The sequence below is a fragment of the Homo sapiens genome, chromosome 10, assembly GCF_000001405.40.
Source record: "Homo sapiens chromosome 10, GRCh38.p14 Primary Assembly".
In the NCBI taxonomy this organism is placed as follows: Eukaryota; Metazoa; Chordata; class Mammalia; order Primates; family Hominidae; genus Homo; species Homo sapiens.
The window spans coordinates 101,080,940-101,095,660 of NC_000010.11; the positions used below are offsets into that span (position 1 = coordinate 101,080,940).

General features: G+C 53.0%; 1 long non-coding RNA gene across 2 annotated transcripts in view, besides 3 other annotated features; it reads right to left on the reverse strand.

The window, feature by feature from the left end:
• Positions 53 to 347: a silencer, noted in NCBI's record as "tiled region #9711; HepG2 Repressive non-DNase unmatched - State 21:Repr, and K562 Repressive non-DNase unmatched - State 22:ReprW". NCBI's record gives its function as "represses a minimal TATA promoter and a strong SV40 promoter by Sharpr-MPRA in HepG2 and K562 cells {active_cell/tissue: HepG2 | K562}" and the evidence as "EXISTENCE:reporter gene assay evidence [ECO:0000049][PMID:27701403]".
• Positions 120 to 320: a silencer, noted in NCBI's record as "peak1075 fragment used in MPRA reporter construct". NCBI's record gives its function as "represses an SCP1 promoter by STARR-seq MPRAs in K562 erythroleukemia cells {active_cell/tissue: K562}" and the evidence as "EXISTENCE:reporter gene assay evidence [ECO:0000049][PMID:32103011]".
• The window catches only part of TLX1NB (TLX1 neighbor), a 51,946-nt gene continuing 45,606 nt past the window's right edge, over positions 8,382 to 14,721 (reverse strand). For both annotated transcript variants that reach the window (NR_130723.1, NR_130722.1), the window contains exon 3: positions 8,382 to 9,763. This is a non-coding gene — a long non-coding RNA (TLX1 neighbor). The remainder of the gene's footprint in view (positions 9,764 to 14,721) is intronic.
• Positions 14,581 to 14,700: an enhancer, noted in NCBI's record as "active region_3907". NCBI's record gives its function as "activates an Ori minimal core promoter by ATAC-STARR-seq in GM12878 lymphoblastoid cells {active_cell/tissue: GM12878}" and the evidence as "EXISTENCE:reporter gene assay evidence [ECO:0000049][PMID:35858748]".

Consider the following 14,721-nt stretch of genomic DNA (forward strand, 5'->3'; position numbering starts at 1 on the left):
TGGTGAAGAATCAGAAGCCAGGCCCTGTCCCTGGGATTAAGGACAAGGAATGAGAAGGAAGAGGGAGGAATAAGAGGAAGGGAACAAGAAGGAAAAGGAAAAGGTGTTTTGAAGAATGAGGAATGTTTAGCAGGGAAGAAGAGGGAAAAGCGGAGGGACCTGGAAGTTTGGTGATCCTTGAAATAGTGGGGGTGCTGTCCTTGGTCCTGACTGACAAAGGGCCCACGAATAGCCCAGACGGAGTGCCTACCCCAAACTCCCTGCAATTTCCCATGAAGGTGACCAGATGATTTTGGAGGAAGAACAAAGAGCTAGAGCTGCATCTGATGGGAACTGAATCCACAGGCCTGGCTTCGCTCTCACACCTTCTCCTTCTCCTACCTTTCCCCAAAGCAACTCCCTGTTTAATAAATGCTCCTTGCAAGAGGTAGACAGTTGTGGGCTCAGAGGAGATCTGGGCAGGACTCCTGGGGAAGGGTGCAGGTACCTGTGCCCTGAAGACCCCTGGCCTAAGTCCCTCCTCATGAGATAAGTTGGCTGGAAAGTGGAGGTGCCCTAAGGTGGGAGTACTGGCCTGATCAGATTAAAAGCAACCAGATCCTGCTAAAAGCCTGGATTGACATTATGCTTCCACTTTCTCTCCTGTTCCTTTGCAGAACTTGAATACCAACACCATTTTTCCCTCCTTTAAAAAATTGTATGTAACAAGCTGTTCACAGGCAGGCCTTGCACAGATGGGGGTTTAATCAGCTACAGTCTAAGCACACAAGCATTCCAGCCTAATTCAATTCCTGTCAGTTCATTAGGGGAAATATTCATCACCCAGAGATTACAGCAGGGCCAAAACTCTGAATGGATTCTAAAGAGCTGTCAGTGGAGTAGCAACTGCACCAGCCTATGCAGGGGGCCATATTGTGTGGAGGGTGTCTGGCAGCCCTGGCCATGCTCTGAGACCCCTGATCCTACCGGGCTTCTTCACAGGGACTCTGTTTTGAGAATCACTGTTTTGCAGACCTCAAGGCAAGGCACTGAGGGGGAAGATAAGAGAGAAATACAACTGCATTTGGGAGTCCCTATTTAAAGGGGACATGGAGGCTCCTCCTTTTAGGGAGCCTCTAGTCCAATGGGGGAGACGTGGCTTCCACCCTCCGGAGTGCTCTCTGAGTTCTCTGAAGACTGCTGACTTATAAATGATTAGACTTTTCTTTCTTTTTTTTTTTTTTTTTTTTTTTGAGATAGAGTCTTACTCTGTTACCCAGACCGGAGTGCAGTGGTGCAATCTCTGTTCACTGCAACCTCCGCCTCCTGGGTTCAAGAGATTCTTCTGCCTCAGCCTCCTAAGTAGCTGGGATTACAGGCACCTACCACTATGCCCGGCAACTTTTTGTATTTTTAGTAGAGATGGGGTTTCACCATGTTGGCCAGGCTGGTCTCAAACTCCTGACCTCAAGTGATCCACCCACCTCAGCCTCCCAAAGTGCTGGGATTACAAGTGTGAGCCACCATGCCCGGCTGATTAGACATTTTTGTCCTAAAATCTCTAGCAAGAAATTACCTCCTCACAAAGGCACAGGTGGGAGTATGATTCCCACCAGTTCCTGCAGTTAAATTGGAGCAGAAGCTGGAAATAGAAGTCAGGGCACAGACTCAAGACCATGGGACGCTATTACTTTTCTTGTGCCATGGGAGCCTAGGTCAGGTGAACCTGGGCGGTGGAGGTAAGGGATCTCTTCCAGGTTGGATTTTCCCAAATAGATGAGACCCTCAATATCAAGTGACCTTAACCATCTCGTATGGAGAGGCTTGAGTATTTCCCTGTGTGTAGTTTCTGCCCACATCCCTATATGAAGCGTAGGAAGCTTGTTTGTTGATCACCTCTGGCTTTCCCAGGGCTATCCTCTGCCTCCCATTTTTCTCTTGTCCTCCCTGGTGGTGGTGCGGAAGTCTTGCCTTGGATGGTTCACTAATCCTAGGGTGTCTGAACCAAAGGCAAGGCACTCACAGGGCTAGACTTTGGCCTCAAAGCCCATAGTGCTTCCTGCCATCCCGTTTCTAGGCTTCAGCCCTAGACATGTCCTCTGGACTGAGGAGAGCTGGTCACCTGTGAGGTCTATTTCCTCTGCCTAGGTCTTCTGCCCTTTTGCTCACCTGGGCTAAGACGGAGAATGGGAGAGAAGAAACACGGAGCATGTGGCCTACCCTCCCATGTGGGTGAGGGAGAGCTTCCTGCAGCTGAGACCCGAAAGATAACTGTGAGGTACCAGTTGAGGGGCTGGGGAGGATTTTTGCCCTCACTGAGCCCCTGTGCTCCCTAGACTTCTTTCCCAGACTCCTGAAACCCATTCTTGGCTCAGAGTCCTTCAGTCAGTCTCCATGAGCCCTACCCCTCCACCCACAGCCTGCCCAGCATCCGGCTTCCTAGGGAGTCCCTCGGCTCTGAGACTACATCAGGACAATATTCCACAGGGATTCAGTTGGAAGACTTCTGACCTGGAGGGTGGGGTCTGGCTGTTTCTCAAAGGGAGCGACCAAAGCCTAGAAGGCACATAGGCTCTGCCACTCTCAGGCCCATCTCCTTAGGAAGGAATCAGGGACAGCAATAAGAACCCAGAACAAAGGGCCAGGAGGCTGATAGAGGGGACAAGATCCAGGTCAGAAACAAAAACTCAGCTTAGCCACAGTGATGCTTGAGAGTTATGAGATGGCTGGGGAGATCCACAAGCACCTTTTCATTGGGCACAGGTATAACCTACCTTGAACTTGGGACCTGGAGCCAGGTCCTGACACTGAATGGGCAGTTATAATCTACTTGGGAGCCTGGCTAGAAACCTTGTTTTCCCACTTACTAGCTAGGGAATCTTTGGTGAGCCACTTTTTTTGTTTTGTTTTGTTTTTTTATTTTATTTTATTTTATTGAGATGGAGTCTCCCTCTGTCATCCAGGCTGGAGTGCAGTGGCGTGATCTCGGCTCATTGCAACCTCCGCTTCCTGGGTTCAAGTGATTCTCCTGCCTCAGCCTTCCAAGTAGCTGGGACTACAGGCATGCGCCACCACACCTGGCTAATTTTTGTATTTTTATTAGAGACAGGGTTTGACCATGTTGGCCAGGCTGGTCTCGAACTCTTGAACTCAAGCTATCGGCCTGCCTCAGCCTCCCAAAGTGCTGGAACTACAGGCATGAGCCACCATGCCCGTCCTGTTTTGTTTTTTAGACAGAGAGTCTTGCTCTGTCACCCAGGCTGGAGTGCGGTGGTGTAACCATAGCTCACTGCAGCCTTGAACTTCTGGGCTCAAGTGATCCTCCCATCTCAGCCTCCCAGGTAGTTAGGACTTCGGACATGTGTCACCACACCTGGCTCATTAAAAAAAATTTGGGGGAGCCAAACATGTTAGCTCATGCCTGTATTCCCAGTGCTTTGTGAGGCAGAGGTGGGAGGACTGCTTGAAGCCAGGAGTTTGAGACTATCCTGGACAACATAACAAGACCCTATCTCTACCAAAAAATAAAAAATAAAAATTAGCTTGCTGCAGTGGTGTGCACCTCTGTGCACCTGCAGTGGTGCGCAGTGGTGTGCACCTCTCAGCTACTCAAGAGGCTGAGGTGGGAGGACTGCTTAAGCCTGAGAGTTTGAGGCTGCAGTGAGCTGTGATTGCACCACTGCACTCCAGCCTGGGTGACAGAGCAAGACCCTGTCTCTAAAAATAATAAAATAAATTTTATTAAATACATACCAAATTTTATTTCAAGGAACTGGTTGATGCAATTGTGTGGGTTGGCTAAGTAAGTCTGATATCTGTAGGGCAAGCAGTCAGGAAGGAAAGATCAGGAACAAGCTGGAACCCCCTGGGTGCTAGCAAAGCTGCTGTCCACAGGCAGTCGGGATGGGAGAACCTAGCAAAGGGAGAACAATTCTACACCAAGCTGCTGTTTGGAGCATCCTTCATCAGGGAGAGCCCTGACCCTTTACAGGCTCATCTGACTAGGTCAGGCCCATGGAGGATAACCTCCCTCACTTAAAGCCAACTGATTAGGGACTTTGATTACATCCTCAAAGCCCCTTTACAGCAGGACCTAGATTAGTGTTTATTGAGTACCTGGGAGAAGGTGTGCGGAAGCTGCAAAATGCCTGCTTTGTTTTGGGAGGCTGAGGAGGGCAGATCACATGAGGCCAGGAGTTTGAGACCAGCCTGATCAACATGGCAAAACCTTGTCTCTACTAAAAATACAAAAATTAACCAGGTGTGGTAGTGCACATCTGTAATCTCAGCTACTCGGAAGGCTGAGGCAGGAGAATTGCTTGAACCTGGGAGGTGGAGGTTCAAGTGGCTTGAACTCCACCTGGGAGGTGGAGTGCAGTGGCTTGATCTCGGCTCACTGCACTCCAGCCTGGGTGAACCTATCTGACAGGATTCTAGCCATTGAGAAGATGGGGCACCTCTTCCTTAGCAAAGGGAGGCTAAGGAGATCCCATCCTGAGTTTCCCATGGTCAGAAGTAAGTGTGTCTCTATGGGACTCCTGGGGCTTGTGGACATGGTGTAGGATGGGGAGAACCTCAGGATTAACCAGCACTCTTGGGGGTCCCCTGCTCTGGCTTTTTGGGGCCACCAGAGCCAGAGCTACAGTGGCAGTTGATGGGAATAGCCCTCAGTGACCAGTGGGGCTTCAGCAGGTAATTACCCGGCAAAAGCTGGGAACTGACAGGGTAATTATTAGCTTCTAATTGCAGGGCAAACTCAGGCCGGGATCCTTCTCTCCAAAGCAGAGGGCATTACTATTTGCATAGCAATTAATTACTTTGGGAGCTACGGAATTTAATTACCCACTAGTCCACAGGAGCCAATAATTAAATTACTCTCAGAAACAGGGTATTTATTTCCCAGTTAGTGTGAGCAGGTAGCTCTTCCTTTGGGGGGTGTGCCTGGGTGATGACCCCTAAACCGATTGCTGGTCCTTGGCCTGAGCAGGCAAAGAGTGGTGACCACGGTGCCCAGCAGGGAGTGCCCGCACCTTGATGAGGACGGACACCCAAGCATACACAGATACAGGCCCTTGTAGGGCATGCAGACACATGATACCATGTGCTAGCCATGACTCATGGACTGGCGTTTGGATGTACAGTAACTCATTGTAAGTGGGGCACACACACTCAGCGAGAATTACACACATGGTGAGGAACAGGCAAAGAGGCCAAAGAGGGAATTTTGGCTCTATCATTTTGCCACTATTGTTTTGCCTAACTTGCATCAAAATGTGTTTGTGGTACTATGTACTTTGGTCAACAGGCTGTGGTTCTGAGCCCATATGGAATCCATCTTCATCCCTGATGCCTCTCAAAATGGGGTTTGGGTTGGGAGGGCCTCAGGACAGAGTAGGCGCTAGGGAGGGGCTGGCACTGTCTATTTTGAACATCAATTGATTTTTTTGTTTTTTGAGAGGGACTCTCACTTTGTTGCCCAGGCTGGAGTGCAGTTGTGCAATCTTGGCTCACTGCAACCTCCATCTCCCTAATTGAAGCAATTCTCATGCCTCAGCTTCCCGAGTAGCTAGGATTACAGGCACCCACCCACCACACCCAGCTACTTTTTTTTGTTTGTTTTTGGTAGAGAGACAGGGTTTCACCATGTTGGCCAGGCTGGTCTCGAACTCCTGACCTCAAGTGATCTTCCCACCTCAGCCTCCCAACATGCTGGGATTACAGGCGTGAGCCACCATGCCTGGCCACATAACTTGATTTTTTAAAATCCTGAAAGTTTAATGTTTTTGCATCAAAATGGCCATGCCAAAATGTCATATATGCCTGAGAGACAGGAGTTGATAGAAGACCCTGAGGTCTGGAGGAACCTAGAGACTTCCAAATAGAAAGCAGCCCCTTGAAGCAGAGCTGTGTTGGGTCCAGCATTTACTCTCCCTCTTCATAGAAAACAGGGTCCCAGAAGGAGGCATGAAGGGATGGGGTGTGTCTGGGTTAGCTTGCCCAGTGTCAGGACCTCCAGTCCTGAAGGAGAAAGCCCAGAGCTGGGTGGTGTCTGCCAGGTCCGCTCTCCCCGAAGTCCACTCCTCGCCTTCCTTGGCGTTGCTTCCCATTGGCTGCCTGGGGGCAGTGGTCAGAGGTAACTGAGGCAATGTGGTTTTCACCTCTATCTACTTAGAGAGTATGGGAAGTCCCTGGCCCTGGAGCTGGGGATTCTAGTGTTAGAGGCAGCCTTGCTGCTTGGTGGGTTGCCCATTCCTCTGGGCTGGTGGGCCCAGGTCTTTGTGCACTGCTCCCAATAAGGAAGGGCAGAAGAATGGGGCCCGCTTCCCTTGTTCTCCACTCCCTTCATCCTGAAGGTGTCTCAGGCAGGTCAAGTGGGCACTGGTTATTCTGTGGTTATCTTCCTTCCTCCTTTTCCCCAGGTGACTATGGAACCCCTCGCATGTGCAGGTCCAGAGCCAGGCCACCGCACAGCCCCACTGCCCCATCCCAACTGATGTCAGCTCCCAGCCCCTGACCCCTTGGAATTCCCCTCCAAAGCCTAGAGCTGAGTCCCTGTCGCCATCCTTCCAGCTTAGCCTTGGGCCCTTCCCAGGTGGGATCCTGTAGATGCTTCTAATGAAGTTCTCTCTGACTCTGTTTGGGGCACCCACCACCCGTGGAAAGGAGCGGCGGCCGCCCCGGCCCAGGCTGCTGACAGCAGCAATCCATCTCCATCACAGTAATGGCGTCCCCATTAATCGGCCATAAACTAATAAAGCAATCACTTTCCACCCCTCACCCCCCCGCCCCAACTTCATTAAGTCTTTAGTACATTAATATGTCTTACTTAGTGTCAGCCAAGCCTCTTTCTCTGTTTGGGGTGGAGCATGCTGGGGTGGGCACCTCGCCCGGTGGGTGGGGGCACATGACCCCTCTCCTGGTCTGGGTAGGGGGCTGCTGACTCAGGGCAACCCACTCCCCCTCTCCCTCCTTCCTCTCCACCCACTGTCCCCTTGAGGGCCTTGAAAGGCTGCAGAGAAGAGGAAGAGCGAGAGGAACAGGAAACTGTGGAGCAGGAGAGAGGAGGAAACGGGAAAGGAAAAGGAAGGAGGAAGACGGGATGAGCTGGGGAGGAAGGGGGGAAGCTGGGAGGAAGGGGGAGACGGAATGGGGGAGGAGCTGTGCACCTCCAAATTAAATTTGTGATTCAGGCATCAGATGGGCCGACAGCCAGAGATTAATTCAACTGATCGAGTTATAAAGAGCGGGAGGCCTGGGTAATCAATCTTGCAGCTGTCAGGCCGACAGGCAGGAGTATTAACCTGGCGAGACGGCACGTACCCAGGACTTTTTCATTTCATTCACCCCAACCATGTCCCTGACCACCTCTGGTCTGTCTCTCCAAGTAATAATAATTACGGCTGTTAACGATGACAGAGACAGGATGAGGGGACGGGCTCCTGCGGCAGGGCTTCCTCTCCCGGAGCTCCCACCCACTGCTCCTCTGACCACTCCCAGAAGGTAGAGCAAGGACCAGCTCATGGCACTCTTTGAGAGGTGGGGAAATCGAGGCAGGAATTCCAAAAAGACCTTCAGACAGGCCAGAGGTGGGGCTGGAAAGGTACTTTGGGATAAAGGACAGTGCCCTAGATCCCTCTCAACTCTCGGGAAAAGAATTGTCCTTAAGTCAGCCAGCTTGGCCCCAACACGTTCAGCTGTGGCCAGGGAAGCTGGAATCAGGAAGGTGAGACAGATCCCCTCCTCCGGGCTATTTTGCCTCAGCCACAAACCTGAGCTCTGTGTGGCTTGGGTGGAGGTCCCATCCTGGGCACAGACTCCTGGGCTGGGGCTGCTGTTCTTCCTGGGCAGCCTTCTCTCCTCCTTCTCTCTCCTCCCACCTGACAGTGTCAGTCCACACCTAGGGGGTGGGGGTCTCCCTGCAGAGACTTGTGGAAACACCACCGTTTGAGTAGAGAAGGGGTGGGGATGGGGGAGCCCCCTTGAAGTTGACACCTCTCTCAGCTCTGGCTAATTTTCACATCCTTCAAATTCTGATATCTCTTTTTCCCTCCTTGCTCCAGGGAAAGGAAGGGAGAAGACAAGAGAGGGAGAGAGAGGTAAATAGGTAAGAAGATGTGCTGGGCACCTTTAGGGACTGCTGGGAGTGAGCCAGGGCCTCGTCAGTCCTCTGAAATTGTTATGCCAGGGTGAGCTGCTAGTAGTGGGGGCCTTGGAGGGCTGATGTGAACTGTGAGTTCTTTCTTCCATGCTCAGTGAGAACCAGGCACAGGGTTCGTGGAAGGGGCTATGGCCCCTGTGATGCCCTCAGTATTCCCTATTATCATTTTCATTATTACCAATCAGGGACCACCCCGTCGCTACAGACAGCAATGCTGTAACAGTGACTAGTGCCAGAAACTGGCTAAAGGTTTTCTATACATTACTACTTTAATGTTCGCAAAGAGCCCTATGAAGCAAATTCTGTGATCAGCCCCATTTTACAGATGAAAACCTGAAGTTCAAAGAGGTTGGAAGACTCACTCAAGCTCTCACAGCCAGGAAATAGCAAAGCCAATACTGGGCCCCTAGCCAGAGCCTCAGCTCAGCATAGGCTAACTTTCCCCCAAGGCCCTCAAATGTCACTGTCCCCTCTGACCCCTGCCTCCACCAAGGTTCCTCAGTGTTCTCCGTAGGCGGATTCTGGATTTCTCCAGCTGAGGTGACCTGGGCACCAGATCCTTCTGGGTTTGAGAAGGGTGGGGAGGGTGATGCTTCTGTTTGTTTAGAGGGTGGGGCGGGGAACCTGGTGTCAGAGAACACTCATCCGGGGCAAAGGGAAGAGTGGGGGCCCCACTCGGGGAGGCTCCCCAGTGCTCTGCCCTCAAGTAACCCCAGGGAGTAGGCTCTGCCCCCTCCCCAGGCCCCATGGCCTCTTGGGAAAGGAGAGAGTGCTGACTTGCCCATGCCCCCCGCCTTCCCCAGGGATGGAGCAATTGGAGGGGTGCCATGCTGGGTGTGTGTTGGGGTGGGAGTGGATCCTGACTTAGAAGGGCCTAGAGGAAAACTCTCCCTGTCACCTCCTGACCCTAGCTGGGGCTAGGCTGGAGGAGGACTGGGGACATGGGCCTGTCTGAGGCGCCAGGCGCTGGAGGCTGGAACTAGGCCAGCCCCTCTCCCAGGCTCCCTAGGACCCATTTCAAGTGGTTGCTTCCAGGATGACGCAGCCCTGGGGAGGGGGAGCAGGAACAAGGAGCCTGTTTCCAAGCAAAGGTTCAAGGGTTTCCTTTCCTGGGCTCCCGCCCCCTTGCTCAGGGCAGCCACCCATTCTGCCCTGTCAGTCATAATGTTTCTTCCTTATCTGAGACCAAAGCCGATGGAGGGACCCAAGTCCCTGTCCCATCTTGAGGTGGTTCTTGTGCTTGAGTGGGGATAGATGGAGACCCCCAGCACAAGGAACCAGAATCCTCAAGTCTTAAGGTTTTGATCAGTGGGGTGACTGGGAGAGTTAACGTATCATGGCTCCTCTCTGCTCCTGCCTCGTCCCGTTCCATGGAGCCTTCTTATTCCTGCAAGATCCTGCATCAGGGGCCTCTTGCGGCATTAGAGATGGGGGTGTTCTCTGGTTTCTAGTCCTCTCAACCCATCAAGGTGGATGTGGATTCAGATCCCGAGGGCTGTCTTGTCATGATCACCACAATTGTCCCTCGCAGCTTCTCTGCGCTTTAATTCTCCGTCTGTAGGTAATGGAGAGAATGCTGTCTGTGATCTCTGCCTCCTCTGCCTCAGGATGGGGCAAGGTGGGTTGCTGGGGAAAAAGAGAGGAGAGATCTTTTCAGGCAAATCACATAGAACACCTGTTTCTAAACCTGTTGATCCTTCCGTGCCTCAGTTTCTGTGTCTGTAAATTGGGAGAAATCACACCTACTTCCTTGGGTTGTTGTGATGCCCAAGTGAGATGGCAGAGGGGGCCTAGCTCTGTGTCTGGCACATTGTGGTGCTGAATAAATATTTGAAACAATCAGCCAGAGTGGGGAAGTGCCTGGGGTGTGGTGAGGGTGTGGGCTTCAGGGAAGAGGCTCTCCTTCCTCGCCCTCAGTCTTCTCACCTCCCAGCTCTCTGATCTCTCACTGTGACAAGTCCAGGCAGAGGCCCTCAACATGAGCACCCCAGCTCTGAAGATTGCTTGGACGAGGCTGGAGAATGCTGGCGCGCTAGATAGGGTTGCGTTTGAGGGATGTGTATCTCCACATCCTTGATTTGAGACAGGGGCTATTTGGACATCAGCCAGGCTTTGTGTATATGTGAGTGTGTGTGTCTGCGTGTGCACATGTGTGCATGTGTGTGGATGTGTGTGTGGGTGAGTGGGCTCAATGGCTGGCACCAAAATACTTGCTGATTAATCTTTGTCTTCCGAGCGCCCAGCCCTAGTCCCCGGGAAGCTCCAGGGCCTGAGCTGGTGTCCAGTGGGCCTGAGGGGGCAGAATCAGGCCCAGGAAGATGGATTTCCCTGTCCCCTCAGGCCCCACCCAGCAGGGAAGCAGGGAAGACTGCTTCATTTTGTTTAATGGGATACTGGGGGGGACAGTAGTCATGGGGCATTAACTGCTAATTGGGTCCATAATAAAGTTAATAAAGCTCTTATGGTCTTTGCCATTAAGTGTAATTAAGGGGGTGCTCTGTGGCGAGGAGGGGGTTGTTCGCGGGGAACGGGTAGTGGGCTCTCACTGGCAGGAGCAGCTGATGGGGAAGCTGGCAACCATGCCAAGGCCAGAAGCTGCACTGGCTTCTGGCACCACCCACCCCTGGCTGGGCTCCCGCGCAGCTCCTCTGGGGATTGGAGGTGGTGAAGTGGACAGGAAGGGAAAGGGTTTACTCTGTGCTGTTCATAGAAGTCCAGGGGGAAAATCATTAACTTCAGCCCCAATGCCCACACCCTTGAAGAGGCTCAGAACATGGAAGAAATGTCATCTTCAAGGAGAGATGGCACGGACAATCTCTGAGCTTTAGGGCATGGCTTGACTTGTGTGTGCTGAATGACTGGGGACGTTGCATAACCACTCTCAGCCTCGGTTTCACCTTCTGTAACATGAGGATAAAAACAGCATGGTTAGGAGGGTTCCAGAGCTATGTAGTGGGAGACAGCTAGATGAGTGACTGTCGTGCTGTTATTCTTTTTGTGAGCTCTTGTTTGTTTTGTAATAACACAAGAATGTTTGATGAAGCCTTCTTGTATATACAGAAGCACAGAGTGACCCTCTCATCCCTCTGTCATCGATGTGGTTGTTATTTTTCCAGAGTTTTGGGGATATATTTATATAATATATGTGTACATGCAGAAACACATAGTTTTCTTTCTTTTTTTTTCTTTTTTCGTTTTCTTTCTTTCTTTCTTTTTTCTTTTTTTTGAGACAGGGTATCACTCCATCACCTAGGGTGGAGTGCAGTGGCGTGATTATGGCTTACAGCAGTCTCAAATTCCAGGGCTCAGGCAATCCTCCCACCTTAGCCTCCCGAGTAGATGGGACCACACGTGTGTACCACCAAAACCAGCTAACTTTTACATTTTTTGTAGAGATGGGGGTCTCCCTATGTTGCCCAGGATGGTGTCAAACTCCCAGGCTCAAGCAAGCCTTCTGCCTCGGGCTCCCAAAGTGCTGGGATTACAGGTGTGAGCCACTGCGCCCAGCCTACATTGTTTTCTTGGATGGCTGTATGATATTCCATCATATGGCTACGTTTTAATCATGTTGCTTGTGCCCCAGATGGAAACCTAGACTGTTTCTAGTCTTTAGCTCTTACAGTACTGCAAAAATACCTTGATATATTTCTCTGAGCACAAGTGCAGGACATATATAGACAAATTCCTCGAAGCGGAATTGTTGGGTCAACTGACATGTTCATTGAACATTTTTGATAGATATTGCCAGACTGCACATGAAGATGATTGCACTGTCTACCCCCGGTGTCAAACCGGCAGAGGGGCTGCCTCCCAGGTGCTCAGCTCAGCCACCTCAGTTGCTCTCAGACACACTCCTGGACAGCTCCCGGGATGGGGGAGTCCCAAGGAGAGCACGCAGGACAGGGAGCGCAGCTTCCCCTGGGAGGGGTGGGACAGGAGGGACAGGAGCCAGCCCTCCCCTCTAAGCCTGAGAAAGCCACTAGGTAAACTCGGTTGTCAGAAGGGAGGGAGAGTTTCAGTCAGGGTCAGGGGTTAATGCGATGGAGCTACTGGGACACACTGTGCAAACAAAACAAGTTAGGGGAGGGGAGGGGCCGGCCCTCTGGCCACAGGGAGGGAGATGGGCCAGTCAGCCTGCACTTGGCTCTTCCCTGGGTAGCTGCCATCGTGGGCACAGGTTCTGGGCTGTTGAGGACCTTGTGGCCAGGCTGCTGGGCTCTAAGGCCAAGAGGGCAGCATTCTCCTTCTGAAGGCCGCCCCCCAGAGCTGGCACGGTAGGCCTGCTGAGCTGCCTTGCCCACCTTCAGGGCCCCTCCACAGGTAATCCCCCTGGAGCCCTGTCTGGGAGGCTTTGGACGGTATTAGAGGTGAGCCGGGTGGCAGGCCCTGGAGCCAGGCCCAGCTTTTAGAGCATTCCTGAGCATTAGGCTCCCTGTCCCAGCCCAGCCTTGCCCTCACCCCATGGAGCCCCTGGGGCTTCTCTGCTTCAGCTGCTGCTGGCCTAATTACAGGTGTCCATGTCAGGGTCAGCAGTGGAGTTAATTCGGGGCTTGTCTTGGGGTGGCCGGGGCTCATTAATGGAGTCCCAAAGAGCCTAGGGATGAGCCAGGCAAACAGGGGATTAGGGGCTGAGGAAGACTGCTGTGGGGGAAGGCTGGCTAGGCAGGGCTGTGAGCTGGGCCCCGGGGAGGGGGTCAGCTTCAAGCCTGTGTGTTCACCCACCCACCCACACAGGCCCTCATGAGACCCAGCAGTGCTCAGACACGCAGACACACACAGCCACGGGCCAGACACTCTTCAGAGACACATATGGACTCTCATACACAGGCTCACACACACAGACACACACCATTGGACTTAGAACTGCTCCCTGAGAAGCCTTGAGGTGTGCAGGAGGGGTGGGGGAGATGAACCAGAGATTTCCCTCTTCAGCCAGAAACTCTGGCCTGCCCCTGCCAGCCCCCTCCTGTGCCCTCTCCCACCCTGGCCAGGGCATTGAGCTTCCCTTCTCCCTTTCCTTCAGCATGTCCTCCCACCATGGACTGGAATTCCGAAGCACTGGTCTGTGGGTAGAATGAAAGAGCCGGCTCCCAGCCAGGATGCAGGGAGGCGGGGGTGGTTTCTCCACACCCCTCAGTCCAGCCTGGCCTAGAGGGTCCCTGAGCCCAGCTGTCAGCCCACCTCCCCCATACCAACCCTGTGCCTCATGACAGCCCTGGGGTTCTGTGGGGAGGCAGAGCCACACTGCACAGAGGTCACCAAAGAGAAGGAGGAGGAGGAAGACAAGAAAGGAGCTGACAGGAGCCAGGGTTGGGGCGGGGGCTGGGCAGGGGGAAATCGCTTAACCCCGAAGCCGCCACTAGTCTTTGGAGCCCCTGCATTGACGGGGGCCAGCTGGAGCTGGCTGAGGACAAGGGGCCCAAGTGTGGGAATCCAGGGAGGAGGCCTCCCCGGGCTTCCTGGATCAGCTGGGAAGAGAGACCCCAGAGCCTTCTTCTCCAGCCCGCCCTCCTGCCGCCATCCCTCCCTAGAGTGTGGAGACAGGCCCCGGCTCCCTGGCTCTGTTGCCAGTGGGGGAATTTTTCCAGCATTGACCTCACCCCGACCCCACCCCAGGCTGGCTGGCTGATGTTCCTGCACTCCTAGCAGCGTGGCCATGGCAGCACAGGGCAGGCAGGGGATTCAGAAACCCAACCCTTGACTCTGGAAGAGTCAGGTTTTCCCAAGGATACCTCCTTCCACCTGTGCCCACTTACCAAGGCACCTCCTTGACTAGTATTTAGAAGTGACCCCAGGGATAAAGTGACTCCCATTACAGAAACAGCCACTGCTCCATCCCACTAACTTCACCTGCTCATCAGTAAAGGTGCCCACGGGTCAGACTGCCACCTGTCATCACCTCACTCTTGGTCCTAGGCATCAAGCCTTCCCTTCTGGGCCCCCAGTGTCCCCCATGCCATCCCAGGACCCCACACACACTCCAGGCCCATAATTGAATATAAAGGCCCAGAAGCTAGTGCAAACAGTGGCATTAATCACCAGCAACCTGGCAGCCTCCTGCCATAGATCTTTTCCACGCGTAGAATAGCTCATGTTAATCACTGCCGCTGATTTATTGTCTTCTCCGCCTTGTACATAAATTATTCACTGTGGCTGGGCTGCGAAGGAATCCTGTAATGAGGCCTTCCATCCTCCCATCTCCAAGGTGAATCCTCAGACCTCCGGGTCCACCTAGTTGTGTTCACTGGTGGGTCAAGGCATGGAGCCACAGGCATGGGATTGAGAGGATGATAGGGAGTGGGGACCCCCATGCAAGAATATCTGTCCCCCCAGGAGCATATATAGGACCTCTTCAGCTCCAGGAAACAGGGCTGCGGCCTCGCCTCTCCAGCTCTGGACAGGAGAGACAGGGCAGAATGGGGCGGAGGAGGCTGTTGGGTGGCCCCAGGGCTTCCTAAGGCTCCGGGAGAGTAAAGCCTTCCAGCCTTTACCTGGAAGTTCCTGCTCACCACCTGAGAGACTCTCCCGCCAATCAAGGCCAACTCTTGGGAGTTCCCCATCACCGGAAGCAGGATGTGGGCGTG